The sequence below is a fragment of the Homo sapiens genome, chromosome 17 (assembly GCF_000001405.40).
Source record: "Homo sapiens chromosome 17, GRCh38.p14 Primary Assembly".
NCBI classification, from domain to species: domain Eukaryota; kingdom Metazoa; phylum Chordata; class Mammalia; order Primates; family Hominidae; genus Homo; species Homo sapiens.
In genome coordinates, this window is record NC_000017.11 from 73,392,633 (window position 1) to 73,405,918 (window position 13,286).

General features: G+C 53.7%; 1 protein-coding gene across 5 annotated transcripts in view, besides 2 other annotated features; it reads right to left on the reverse strand.

The window, feature by feature from the left end:
• SDK2 (sidekick cell adhesion molecule 2) overlaps nucleotides 1–13,286 on the reverse strand; it is a 310,062-nt gene that overhangs the window by 58,249 nt on the left and 238,527 nt on the right. For 4 of the 5 annotated variants that reach the window (XM_047436313.1, XM_011524914.3, XM_011524915.3 and 1 more), the window contains exons 19-27: nucleotides 9,314–9,509; nucleotides 9,022–9,120; nucleotides 8,388–8,579; nucleotides 6,536–6,657; nucleotides 5,688–5,797; nucleotides 5,403–5,553; nucleotides 2,523–2,760; nucleotides 1,577–1,692; nucleotides 928–1,117 (exon numbers count right to left, since the gene is read on the reverse strand). In XM_047436313.1, coding sequence (XP_047292269.1) covers nucleotides 928–1,117; nucleotides 1,577–1,692; nucleotides 2,523–2,760; nucleotides 5,403–5,553; nucleotides 5,688–5,797; nucleotides 6,536–6,657; nucleotides 8,388–8,579; nucleotides 9,022–9,120; nucleotides 9,314–9,509 — 1,414 coding nt within the window. Of the gene's footprint in view, nucleotides 1–927; nucleotides 1,118–1,576; nucleotides 1,693–2,522; nucleotides 2,761–4,410; nucleotides 4,851–5,402; nucleotides 5,554–5,687; nucleotides 5,798–6,535; nucleotides 6,658–8,387; nucleotides 8,580–9,021; nucleotides 9,121–9,313; nucleotides 9,510–13,286 lie in introns of those variants that run through there. The other variant, XM_011524916.4, reaches the window with a different exon arrangement.
• Nucleotides 8,054–8,558: an enhancer, noted in NCBI's record as "H3K4me1 hESC enhancer chr17:71396825-71397329 (GRCh37/hg19 assembly coordinates)". NCBI's record gives its function as "activates a minimal SCP1, AML or CMV promoter by ChIP-STARR-seq in naive H9 embryonic stem cells {active_cell/tissue: H9 hESC(naive)}" and the evidence as "EXISTENCE:reporter gene assay evidence [ECO:0000049][PMID:30033119]".
• Nucleotides 8,559–9,062: an enhancer, noted in NCBI's record as "H3K4me1 hESC enhancer chr17:71397330-71397833 (GRCh37/hg19 assembly coordinates)". NCBI's record gives its function as "activates a minimal SCP1, AML or CMV promoter by ChIP-STARR-seq in naive H9 embryonic stem cells {active_cell/tissue: H9 hESC(naive)}" and the evidence as "EXISTENCE:reporter gene assay evidence [ECO:0000049][PMID:30033119]".

Genomic DNA, 13,286 nt, shown 5'->3' on the forward strand with positions numbered 1-13,286 from the left:
GGATAGAACATATTTAACGGTTCATTAGCTTGATGAATAATGTTAGCATATGCAAACATATGGTATTTGGGCTTCCTTCTGCACTCTGGTCCGGTTCCTGCAAATGTCTGTGGTGGGCAGTAGGTGGGGGCGTGTGCGGGGAGATAGGAGGGGGCAAGGGATGCATTGGTGAGCTTCTGATGGGGAGTTTTGCTACAGGGATGAATGCCTGCAGCCCACTGGTGACATTCTTTTGCAAACAGGACCAGGAGGTTCGTGCGTCCAGGAAAAATACTTTCACAGACCTTTACTCAAAGTGAACCTGCTCCAGTTGAAAAATAAAGTAAAACTGGCCGGGTGCAGTGGCTCACATCTGTAATTGCAGCATGTTGGGAGGCTGAGGTGGGTGGATTGCCTGAGGTCAGGAGTTCGAGACCAGCCTGGCCAACATGGTGAAACCCCAGCTCTACTAAAAATACAACAATCAGCTGGGTGTGGTGGCCAGCGCCTGTAATCCCAGCTGCTCAGGAGGCTGAGGCAAGAGAATGGTTTGAACCTGGGAGGCGGAGGTTGTAGTGGGCCAAGATCGCACCACTGCACTCCAGCCTGGGTGACAGAGTGATACTCTATCAAAAAAAAAAAAAAAAAAAAAAGAAAAGTAAATTAAAACGGGTGCAAGTCCCTATTCTGTATGCTTGTTTTGCAGAGAGACCAAGAGACTGAATCAGACGTCAAACTGCCTCCGCATTGTCCTCAGGGATACACAGGCTGTAATTAGCATCCCCTGCAGTGGGGCTGGTAGCTCTGGGTGACCCATCCCTACCGGAGGCATCTGAGGCCATGGCTCCCTGTGGGGCAGAGCCTGACCCCAGAAGGGCAAGGCCAGATGGGCAGGAGGAAGGGCGGCTCCTCCCAGCCTTCCCCAAGCTTGCTGGGATACGGACTCACCATCATCCAGCGTCCGCTCCAGGATGGGAGGGTGGCTGGGGCTGCCGTCCCCGATGCGTGTGAAGGCCAGCACCTGGACTTCATAGAGCACGTATTTGCCCAAGCCGGTGAGCTGGGCACTGCGAGACGAGTTGCCTTCCACCAGCCAGAATCGGGGCTGGGTGTCCGAGTCCTTCTCCTTATACATCACCTGTCAGGGCCCAGCACAGGGTGAGGGCCTCAGGCCTGCATCTCACCCATCTACACTTTTCCCGAGTCTCATCCCCAGGATGAGCAGCTGTGTGTCACACATCTCCCAACTTCCAGACCAGGGCTGGACCATGTGGCTAGGCACAGCTTTAAAAGGAATTCTAAAAGATAATGAAAAGCAAAACTGGGTCCAACAGAGCTGAGTGAGGCTGGGGGCATCCAGCGTGGCCTCCCGGGAGAGATGGAGCAGCCCTAGGCCCTGGGTCCTTTCTGGGTGCCTCCTCACCCACAAGGGATGACTCATGGTTGCCATGGTGACCATTGGCTAGGACGCCAGGCAGATCCCCTGTATCCACTCTAGGAGGCAGAGACCTAGAGGGTGATAAGGACAAGGCCCCTTGGATGGAGAGGCTGGAGGGGCCAGTGTAGGGACCCCACCTCCTGGGATCCCGGGACTCACCTTATAGCCCAGCACGAGCCCGTTGCGATCAGCCTCGGGGACCTCGCTCCAGCGCACCAGCATGCTGCTGGAGGTGGTGGCCAGTGCAGACACATTGGTGGGGCCGGAAGAGGGAACTGTGGGGGAAAGGGAGTGGAGAGAAGGCACTCAGGACCCAACGTTGACTGTGCAAGGGAAGTGGACCAGGACAGGGGGCCGAGGGAGGGGCCAGCTCGATGTTGCCTCTCTATGGAAGAAACGTGGCACACATGGTCCCCAAACTGCAAACAATCCCACTAAGATGGCCTTTGGTTTTGGAATGCTGCAGATGCCGTTTCCGGTTTCAGATGAGCCTCCTCACAGGATTCTCTGCTCAGGTTAGGATTAGATGAGCTTGCATTTCCTGCTAGCACAGCAGAGAGGGCTGGCAGAGGGACCAGGGTGGCCCAGGAGAGCTGTCTGTCATTTAAAGGGTGCCAGGAAAAAGCCACAGAGCAGTGAACCATGTGTGGATGGATGAGAGTTGCCTGAATGCTGGGCTCACATTCTGTGGGTCACCCCTGGGCAGGCCCCCAGGAGCTTCCGGTAGTGATTCTGGAATGTCCTGAGAGCTAACCCTTTCCTCGACCCCTCCACTGTGGTCTTTCAGGCACCACTGGGTTTCAGGGTTAAAGCTGAGGGCAGGAGAGTGGGCAGTATGAATGGTGGAGCCTACCCAGCTGTCCTCCAGAGGCAGGGATACCCCCGCCCCCCTTGGGAATATGGGAATAGCAGGCACAGTTGCAGAGAAGTGGCAGGTGCTGGGAGAGGCGGCAACATCATTGTGACATTGAGCATAAGCAGAGGAAATGAGCTCAGGCTGTTTTTGAACAACACCTTCAGCCTGGCACGCGCTTGGATGACCCTGAGGGCATAGAGACCAAGGAGGGGACAGGCAGCAGGGTGGCTGGGTGTGAGGGGTTGGTACCTGACTCCCGGGTCCTGCCCACCACCGTCTGGCTCCAGGGCCCGCTCCCGATGGCGTTGAAGGCCTGGACCTGGACGCGGTACTCTGTCCACTCCTCCAGGTCCTCGATGGTGTAGTCCCGCTCCACACGGTCCTGCACCACGTGGCTCAGCGTCTTGCCATGCCCGTCTGACCGGCTGTACTTGATCTTATAGCCCACGGACTCAGGGTTCCCATTGTATTCCATCTCCGGGAGAGGCTGCAGCGGGGCAGGGGTGGCAAAGCTGCTATGAGCCAGGCCCCCCACTGTGCAGGGAGGAACTGCCCTGCTACCCTCTCCTCCAGGGCGCCTTCAGGGCTATCCATCCCACTGTCACCCGGTCAGTGTCCACATGAGGCTCTCTCACCCGAGTGTGGCTTAGGTTGTGTGACTGTGTTTCTGATGGGCTCTTATCTTCCTGCAGGGAGGACAGAGAAGCAGCATCCTTTCTTTATTGTGTATGTGACAAATCTATTACCCTGCCAAGGGAGTCAGGAGCCACAAAGGCTGTGTGTCTGACACACCGATAGCACCGCCACCTTTGGCTCTGCTGTCTCTGCTGCTTACCTCTGTCACTCAGGCTGCCAGCACACACTTAATTGCCTACCGCACCTGGTCTCAGCTCATGCCTGCCTTTGAGTGAGCATGGGCAGAGAGCAGGATGAGTGGGGCACCTGCCAGTCAGGAAGTCCTTCTGTCCAGCAAACCTCAGCCTCTCCTGCTGCATTTTCAGCCTCCTTTTTCTTTTCTTTTTTTTTTTTAAGACAGGGTCTGGCTCTGTCTCTCAGGCTGCAGTGCCATGGTGCTGTCTCAGCTCACTGCAACCTCTACCTCCTGGGCTCAAGCAATCTCTTGCTGGGACTATAGGCGTGTGCCACTATGCCTGCTAAGTTTTGTAGAGACGAGGTTTCGCCATGTTGATCTCAAACTCCTCAGCTCAAGTCATCTGCTCGCCTCGGCCTCCCAAAGTGCTGGGATTACAAGCCACCACGCCCAACCAGCCTCCTCCTTCTTGTTTGAGTCTCACAGAAAAGAAAAGTCAGATTTCTTTGGGGCCTTAGGACTAGGCTGATGGGGCTGTGGTCACCAGCTTAAGGTTGTGTGGATGACCATGGGCAGTGCTGGTGAGAGTGGAGGTGTGCACACAGGGAGGGGAGCCCAGGGCCTGGCCTCCACTACTCTGAAGGGCACAGAGCTGGGGTGGGGGCATCTCCAGCCCTCACCTCCCCCAGTTCTGCTTCCCCAGGGGCTCTGGAGGGCCCTTGGTCCACAGGCTCACCCTAGGCTGACCCACTTTACCCCACTCCTCACCTTCGGCCCCAACCTCCCCTGCTCACTACACGCTTCCTCCCTCCTGCAGACACTTAGTGAAGCCGACCAAAGACCATTAAGATAGCAATCGATGGTCCTGAGAGCCGGAGATGGGGCTTAAGTGCAAGTTCCTTTACCTGCTGAGGAAAGGTAATGGACCACGCACCATTAAGCGTGGGCCTGAGAAGTGTCTAGGGCCCTGTGCCACATGGCAGCTGCCTTTCTATTCCCCCATGCAGTCCCTGCCCTCCGCATCAGGCTCTAACCTTTTAGTAGCTGCAAACCTTAAAGTGAGATTCAGGAAGGAAGCAGGGAGCCAGCCTGGGGTGGGGATGCCTGGGAGCAAAGAGGCAGGAGGTGGGTATAGTCACACTGTGCACGGGGCACTGAGGTGGGCCGAGACAGCTCTGCAGCTCTGCTCAGGCACCAGCCACTCTGGGAAGGGAACTGCAATCAATAACTCATATTTATCGAGGACTGACGGCGCCAAGCGCTTTCATGGCCGCTAGCATCAAGCTGTCCGCGCACAGGAACGGCAATAATGACTTCACAGTGTGGTGTGTTTGCAAGTTGTGTTTTGCACAATGAGTGAGATCTTACGTGGAAACAAAGGGTTTGTGTGGTCAGATGGGCCTGGGGAAGCAGGGTCAAGAGGGCTCCTGCTATGCTAGTGTTCCTGGATTCTCTATGGAGCTGTGGTATGTGGTGCTGTTCCCACATTTATTTGTCTAAGAATTCTTGTTTGCTCCACACGCCTCCTGGGATTGCTGCTCTGTGGGACACGTGCTGGGAAACGATGTTCCAGAGGGCCTGGTGGGGAGAAGTGGCCTGTTCTCCAGAGGATGAGACGGCAGTGTGCCCGATGGTTAGGGCTGTGGACTTGCGGGTAAAGATTCCCCGGGTTGGGACCTCAGCCCTGCTGTTCATGAAAGCACGTGGGAGGATACGGGAGAACTTGGGCGAGTGATCTGACCTCTCTTCTGCCCCGGTTTCCTCATCTGCAAAAGGGGGACCAGGATCACTCTGCTGTCACAGGCTTGTTGTCAGAACAGCGCCTGGTAGGAGAGGAAGCCTCGGTGTGTTACTGTCACTACCTCGTGCAGGATGGCCCACGGTCAGGACCCTCAACACACAGCCCGGATCTGGGGACACTCTCTGAATGCCACAGTGGCACTTGAACCCCAGACCCGCCGCTTGGGAGCTGTGTGGCTGTGGGCAAGTTCTTAACCTCTCTGAGCCTCAGTTTTCTTAGCTGTAAATTGGGATGATCATGTATCCTTTGTAAGATTATTGGGAGAATCAAATGGGATGAAAATTTAAAATGCTTGCCACTTGGCGATGCTCAGTAAACAGTATTTTTGAGCTCCTTCCTCTCATCGGCGGGCGGGGGGGCATTTGTTCGTTGGGCTAAGATGTTGATTATCAGGCATCTCATCAGAAAACAGAAAGAGAGGAGAAAGGAGCTGTAGGAATTCTGATGTGCACCTTCTAGGAGGCAATGACCAGAAGCTCATGGAGAGGTCCCACCCCTGCCCTCGAGGGAGCCTTACCATCCAGCGCAGCCACAGGCTGGTCTCACTGGCTGTGCGCAGAGACACATTGGCTGGGGCCATGTCAGGGGGTGCCTGCAGGGTCTGGATCTTTCTAGAAGGCTGACTGGGGGGGCTGGTGCCCACGATGTTCACCTGGCGCATGCGGAAGCTGGGGTTGGGGAGAGATGAGCAAGATGGTAAGGGCAGCTCACCCAACTCTCAACCCTGTCCTGGTCTGGGCCATAGCCCCCACCCACCCCCAGCCCTGAGGCTGCTGCCTTCTCCCCGGGCCAGTCTCATTACCTGTAGCAGGTGAAGGGGTTGAGGTCGGGCACCTCCATGGAGCGGGCATCGGGCTCATTGGAGAGCTGGTGGATCAGCAACCACTCCTCTCCCTCCCCAACCACGCCTACCTGGAAAAGGGCAGGATCTTAGGCCTGTCCAGCCTACAGGGCCCACACGGGGTGCTCCGAGCCCCAGTACAAGCCCTGCCAGGGAAGAAGTTGGTTCAGAACCCAGGGCTCATCTGGAGGGCACCATATGGGGCTACCATCTTTCCAGGCCCCTAAACATGACTGCAAGTGTGACTCAACCCTCCTGCCTTAGAATCTCTCAGGATGCTTGTGATCAATATATTCCTGGATTCTGGAGTCAGAATGAGTTTAAATCTAACTCCACTACTTACAGAATCCCTCGAGTGCTGCCCAGGAATCTGTGCTTTTAACAAGCAGCCCAGGTGATTCTCTTGAACACCCCGGGTACTTCCAGAGACCCAGGCTGCCCCTCAAATCAGCTAAATCAGAATCAGAGTTTCTGGGGTAGGGGCACAGGTGTTGGCGCTTCTGAACGCTCCCCTGATGATTCCAGGGTACAGCCAAGGCGGATATTTTTATATTCCAGCAACTGGGTATTTTTCTAGGCACCCCCCGACCCAGGAGGGGACTGTAGTGTGTGTGTGTTTTTCCATGTACACAGGTGAGGGGCAGGGGGAGTTGGAGACAACATTGGCAAGTGTGAGCATTTGGAGTATAATGGGCCATTGAGAGCTGCACATGAAAATTCACACAGGCCGAAATACACATAAGATTTTGCACTCAAGGGCACGGGGTGCCCTGGCGGGGGCTGCTGGTCAGGCCCCAGGCCTGCCCTACCTGGGCTTCCACCAGCCAGCGGGAGATGGAGGTTTTCCCATCGTAGCCTGGCCTGAACTGCAAGGTCACAGAGCGGGGGCCGATGTTGGAAATGCCCAGGTTGGTGGGGGGCCCTGGGAGTTCTGGAAAAGGAGAACAGGGTGGGGAAGGAGATCCGGTGAGAATGGCCCCCCATGTTGAACGGGACTGTTGGGCATGGAGGGGGCTGTGTGTCACGCTTTTCCTGGAAATGTCTGAGGAGAAGCACAGCCACGGCCCCACTCCACCCACAGTCTTTGTTCCTGTGTCTTACGGAGAACCATGTTCATGCCAGGAGGCTGAGACAGAGTTGGGGGTCAAAGGGGATCTCCTAGGGCTGAGAGGAGGCTCTCAGGGCCAGGAAACAGGGGCCGGGATGCCGCCTTCTTCCTGGCAGTTCTGGATGTGAGTGAGGTAATCATAAGGCAGCTAAAAGCTGCATTAAAACCAAGCTGTGCTGAGAAAGAAACCAAACGGGACCGATCCTCCCTTCCATCCGCCCAGACCCCTGCACACCTCCTACGCCTAATTACAGCTCAGGAAGGTGAGAGGATGGGTGGGGACAGGGGGAAGCTTATTTTCTGGCCAGGAATCCTGGGGCTCTTGGAGCTCAGGAACAACAGAAAGAACACAGATTCTGGAGTCAGAATGAGTTTAAATCTAACTCCACTACTTACAGGCTGTGTGTCTTTGCACAAGTTATCCAACTCTCTGTGCCTCCATGTCCTCCTTGGTAATGAAGAGGATAATAGCAACACCTCCCTCAGGGTTGTTGTGAGGATTAAATGAGTCAACGTGAGCAAAGCTCCCAGCACCATGCCCCGTGAACACTACATACCTATTTGCCAGCATGGCTGTAATTATCACTGGGCTTTGGCTGAGACTCAGGCAGCCCAGCCATCTACGCAGCAGGTGGAGGGATGCTGGCAGGTCAAACAAGCACTGCCTGACTGATCTGGATGGGACCACATGGTTATCTGGTCCAACTTCCCATATATACAGATGGGGAAACTGAGGCACAGAGGGGACACAGAACTTGCTCAAGGTTGTAGGGCTTGGCAGAAGCAGAGCTGAGAGTGGACCTCGGCTTGCTCTCTGTGCCAGGCCTAGGAGTAGCCCCACCGTGCTCTGCCACCTCCCAACCAACCCTTCCACACGCTGGAATCCAAGGTGGACCCTCTGGGCGACAGTGGGAAATTTTCCCCTGAATCACAGATACCATTGCCTGGTGTGGAATCTGGTGAGAAATGGGTGAAGGGAGGGACTGGTGGGGAAATGAGACAAGGCAGGGGGCCTCTGCTTTTCTGAGAGCTGTGGGAGGATGCAGCAGGGAGCCAGGGGAGCCCCTGTCCAGAGACCTGGGATCCCAGGGATTCCGCCTGCTCTGAGGGGACCCAGACCCACACAGCACAAGGGAAGGGGAGAGCCTGTGGGAAGAACGCTGGTATTCCTGAAAGACAAGGGGCCTCTTTTTATTTTTTTTTTTGAGACGCGATGTGGCCCTGTCACCCAGACTGGAGTGCAGTGGTGTGATCTCGGCTCGCTGCAACCTCTACCTCCTGGGTTCAAGCGATCTTCCATCCTCAGCCTCCCAACTAACTGGGATCACAAGCATGCACCACCACAGCTGGCTAATTTTTGTATTTTTAGTAGGGTTTTACCACGTTGGCCAGGCTGGTCTCGAACTCCTGACCTCAAGTGATACGCCTGCCTCAGCCTCCCAAGGTGCTGGGACTACAGGCATGAGCCACCACGCCCAGCCGACAAGGGGCCTCTTGAATGGGACGCTGCTCAGGAGAACTCAAAGAGTCCTGCCTTGAGAGTGGGCACTTACCTGGGGGCACCCCAGAGGAGATGGTGGAGGCGGACACTTGGCCCTGGCCCTTTGAGGTCATGGCGGCCACCTCGATGGTGTAGGTGGTGAGCGCGGTGAGGCCCGTGACACGGTACTCCAGGGTCACGTTGGGCAGGTAGTGGGTCACACGGGTGTTGGTTCGATTGTACTCCTCCCAGGAGATCCGGTACCCTGGGGAGAGCCGCCGTGTTGGCATGAGCTTGGCTGTGATCACAAGTTGGCCTGACCCACTACTCCACTTCTCACTTCTCCACTAGGCTGGCAATTAGATCCACGCTGGGAGCAATGGGGCCAAGGGAGGTGGGAGCTGTTGGCATCATGCCCTGGGTCTCAGGTGTCGCCTCAGTGGGATGCCAGCACTTTAGGGAATTGCAGGGGACATAGTGAGTCATCATGGCAGCCACTGAGATCTGTGGCAGAAGGTGTGGGGCTGCAGACTCTGGGATGTGTTATGAAGTGGAGGTGCCAAGAGCCTCCTGTGAGTGGTTTCTAAGAAAGCATGGGTTGGCTTCAAGAGTTTGGGTGAAAAGTAGCTCAAAGGCAGGGGATGGACCAGCTCTGACCTTTCCCAGCCCTGTCCTGCCCTCTGGTTCAGAAACACTGCAGTGCCTACCTGTGAGGATGCCATTTTTCTCTCCCGGCTCTTGCCAGCTGACCTTCAGCGATGTGTCCAGGATCTCACTGAAGCTCAGGTGTCCCACGGGCCCAGGCACTGCACCCCAAAAGGAACCCCCACCCCCCAAGGCCAGTTAGAGCCAGAGAGAGACCACCATCTGTGAGATAGCCTGTGGTAATCTGGGGGTATCTCAGCCTGGGAGACAAGCCTGGGCCACCCTTCTGCCTGGGGCGCCCAGCCTGGCCTTGGGCGGGGGGGGGCAGAAAGAGCAGGGCTGGGGGGTGCCTACCATCCTCATGGGTGCGCACCAGCTGCGGGGTGCTGCGTGGCCCGTCCCCGGGGGTGGTGAAACACAGCACTGAGGTGAAGTACTCGGTGAACTTCTTCAGGCCAGACACGAAGCCCACGTGGATGCTGTCTTGAAAGTTAGGCCGGGCGGTCACCATGGTAACCTCCTCTTCCTGTTCCGGCTCCCAGGCGATCAGCTGCGGAGAGGCGAGCAAGTCACACAGGGCAGCAGGAAGGTTCCAGAGGAGGCCAAGCCCTCTCCCACAGGCTGGGCCAATCAACAGATGGTGTCCGGGGACCGGAGTCCCTGTGGTGCCTCCTCCGAGGGAAGGGACAGGCAGTGCAGGGAACCTGCGGGGTACTGGGGTTCACTTTGGGGCGCTTCTCCACTTCTTGAGCCACTGACTTTATGCAAAGCACCGTGCTGGGTGCTTCCCAGGAATCGCCTCGTACTCAATTCTCACAGAGACCCAGGAGGGAGGCATTTCACCAGGAACAGCTGCATAATTTGCAGGCTCAGTGCAAAATGAAAAATTTAGCCCTTGTTCAAAAACGACTAAGAATTTTAAGATGATAGCATCAGAGCATTTAACTAAGTGTGGGGTCCTTCCAAACGTGGGGCCCTGGACGACTGCACAGGTGGCACACCCATGAAGCCGGCCCTGTATTCCTTTTTTGAGATGGGGTCTCACTATGCTGTCCAGGCTGGAGTACAGCGGCATGATCACAGCTCACTGCAGCCTCAACCTCCTGGGCTAAAGCAGTCCTCCCACCTCAGCCTCCCAAAGTGCTGGGATTATAGGTGTAAGCCACTATGCTCGGCCCAGCCCTGTATTTTATTTTATTATTTATTTATTTATTTTTATTTTTTGAGACAGAGTCTTACTTTGTCGCCCAGGCTGCAGTACAGTGGCAAGATCTAGGCTCACTGCAACCTCTGCCTCCCGGGTTCAAGTGATTCTCCTGTCTCAGCCTCCAGAGTAGATGGGATTACAGACATGCACCACCATGCCCGGCTAATTTTTGTATTTTTAGTAGAGATGGGGGTTTCACCATGTTGGCCAGGCTGGTCTCGAACTCCTGATCTCAAGTGATCCGCCCGCCTCGGCCTCCCAAAGTGCTGGGATTACAGGCATGAGCCGCTGTGCCCAGCCCAACCCTGTATTTTACAGATGAGGAAACTGAGGCTCAAAGAGGCTCACACAGGTAGGGGGAAGCTGGTTCTGGGATTCCAAGCCCTGAGCTCCTACATCTTGCCCCATGTGAGCTGGGGCAGCTTCGTCTTTGGAGCTCTCCAAGGGTTACTTCCTACAGAGCTGGGAACTTCAGTTTGTGGGTAACTATTATCCTCTTACACTCCTTCTAAGTTGGGATTTCCATCTTAAATATCAAGTAGAGGCGGGGCATCGGCAAGAAAGTCCCATCTGGAAATCCCTCAAGTTCTTGCTCATCTCCCCTCTGCAGATCACACCTGGCCCCCGCCCCCTCCCGCCTGTCTCGCCTCCTGCTCTCACCTCACGCTCCTGTTTCTAGGCCCTTCATCTGTCTCCAATAATGACAGCTGGTTTCAGAGATTTCCTCATTTATTTGAAGTTGATTAAATAGCAATTAATGGTGAAAAGCAACACTTGATGAGTTTTAATAAGCACGGGTATTTATAGATATAAAACAATACCACGCCAATGTCTCCCGGTTAACTCATGCCTATAACAATGCTTAATCTTCTCCTTTTCATGGCTGTGTATTTATAAAGGATGTTTTGAAATTTAATTGGTATTGTGAAAAGATAGCCTATAGCAAGTTAATTAGACACTAATTAGACCCTCAAAATACTAAACAGAAATACTAAGTGGCATTTAATAAGTGTGTTAAATATCCTCCGTATTTCGATTATCTTGTTTCATAGCAATTATGTTGCCGAACTTCTTTGGAGTAGATTAAGAAACAAGTTTAATGTTTTAATTTAATTTAATTAATGTACATTCAAATTAATTATGCTGTTAGAATTAATTGTGTGGTGTGTTCCCCAGCAAGTATAAAATCTGGGTAAATATTATCTTCCTGGGCTTAGGCCAATTATAAGCTCTACCATTTTTTTTAAATAAAGGAAAAAGGGTGTCTTTACATGTGCCTTAAAACAATATCACTGGGCCTTACCCACAAAAATGACCCAGAGGAAGTGCACAGGGTAATGGCAGTGTGGTTTGTGGAGTCACGCTCTTGACTTCATTATCCTACAGCTTGACGCCTGGATCCAAGATGGCAGCAGGGTCATGGGTTCCTGTGGCTGTTTCAAAATATTTACTCTGGGATGTGAGCCACTTGTCCTTCTCCAGTTGCACGTGGAGAGGAGGAGGCTTGGGGATAGGAGGCCTCCCTGCCTCAGGTCCAGGGAGAGAGACAGTAAAATTGCCTTTTGTGTCCTTCATTGCCCTAAAGGGATTGGGCTCTGGGCAGCCGTGGGATGGAACTTCAGTGCTCAGCTCAACACACAACAGGGCTTCCACCTGTTGAACTCTTACCGTGTGCCTGGCCTTATTTAATCATCACGATGAGGAGCAGATGGAAATCATTGTCCTATGCTATTACAGAAAAGGAAACTGAGGTTCAGGAAGGTTAAGGAGCTTGCACATGGACCTACTAAGAGCTGGCTCAGTTTGTGGACCCTGAGACCTTTCATGATGACCTCTGTCTCTCAAAGGTACACAGAGCTGCTGAGATGAGTGTTCTTTAGGACATCTCTGTGCCTTCTCCTTGTTAGTCAGTTTCAGTGTTGATTTACCATACTAGGTCCTTAGTCTCAGGTTCTAAGTAGACGGGGCTCCCCTGAGAAGGCTCGGGTGTGTTCTGGGGAACGAGCATTAGACCTGAGTTCCTGGGATATGAAATTCCCCCTTAGAGAGCAGAGGCCCAGGGAGGCAAGCCTTGTAACTGAGCAGCAGTGCTGCTGATGGAGGGTGTTGGGGGAGGGCAGCCTTGCAGCTGGCACACTTGAACCTGAACCCAGCTCTGTCACTTACTGTGGGACTCACGGAAAGTCACTTGACCACTCTGAGCCTCAGGCTATTCTAGGGGATAGAAACAGCTGCCTTGCTGGGTTTCAGGGAGGAGCAGGTGAAATGTCTCCTGTCCCTGGTGGAGGCAGTACTCTACAGGGTTGAAGGTGTAGGATGATGTATATGGCATCTAGCTACTAAAGTTAGAAAATAAAAGTTAGGCTGGGCATGGTGGCTTACGCCTGTAATCCCAGCAATTGGGGAGGCCAATGTGGGTGAATCACGAGGTCAGGAGTTCGAGACCAGCTTGGCTAACATGTGAAACCCCGTCTCTACTAAAAATACAAAAATTAGCCGCACATGGTGGCTGGCGCCTGTAATCCCAGCTACTCTGGAGGCCGAGGCAGGAGAATTGCTTGAAACTGGAAGGCAGAGGTTGCAGCGAGCCAAGATTGCGACACTGCACTCCAGCCTGGGCAAAAGAACAAAACTCCTTCTCAAAAAAAAAAAAAAACAAACAAAAAACCATATATATATATATATATATATATATATATATATATATATATATATATATAAAGATCGAGAATGTGGAAAGTACATTGTCACTTATCTGAGAAGGAGAGCATACACATTTATGTATGCATGTACAGCAAATCATTGGTATTCATGTGGGATTGGTTCCAGGACCGCCCGCAGATACCAAAAGCCACAGCTGCTCAAGTACCTGATATAAAAAGGTGTAGTATTTGCATGTAACCTACACACCTCCTCTTATATATCTTTTTTTTTTTTTTGAGACAGAGTCTCGCTCTGTCGCCCAGGCTGGAGTGCAGTGGCGCGATCTCCGCTCACTGCAAGCTCCGCCTCTCGGGTTCACGCCATTCTCCTGCCTCAGCCTCCCGAGTTGCTGGGACTACAGGCGCCTGCCACCACGCCCGGCTAATTTTTTTTTTGCATTTTTAGTAGAAACGGGGT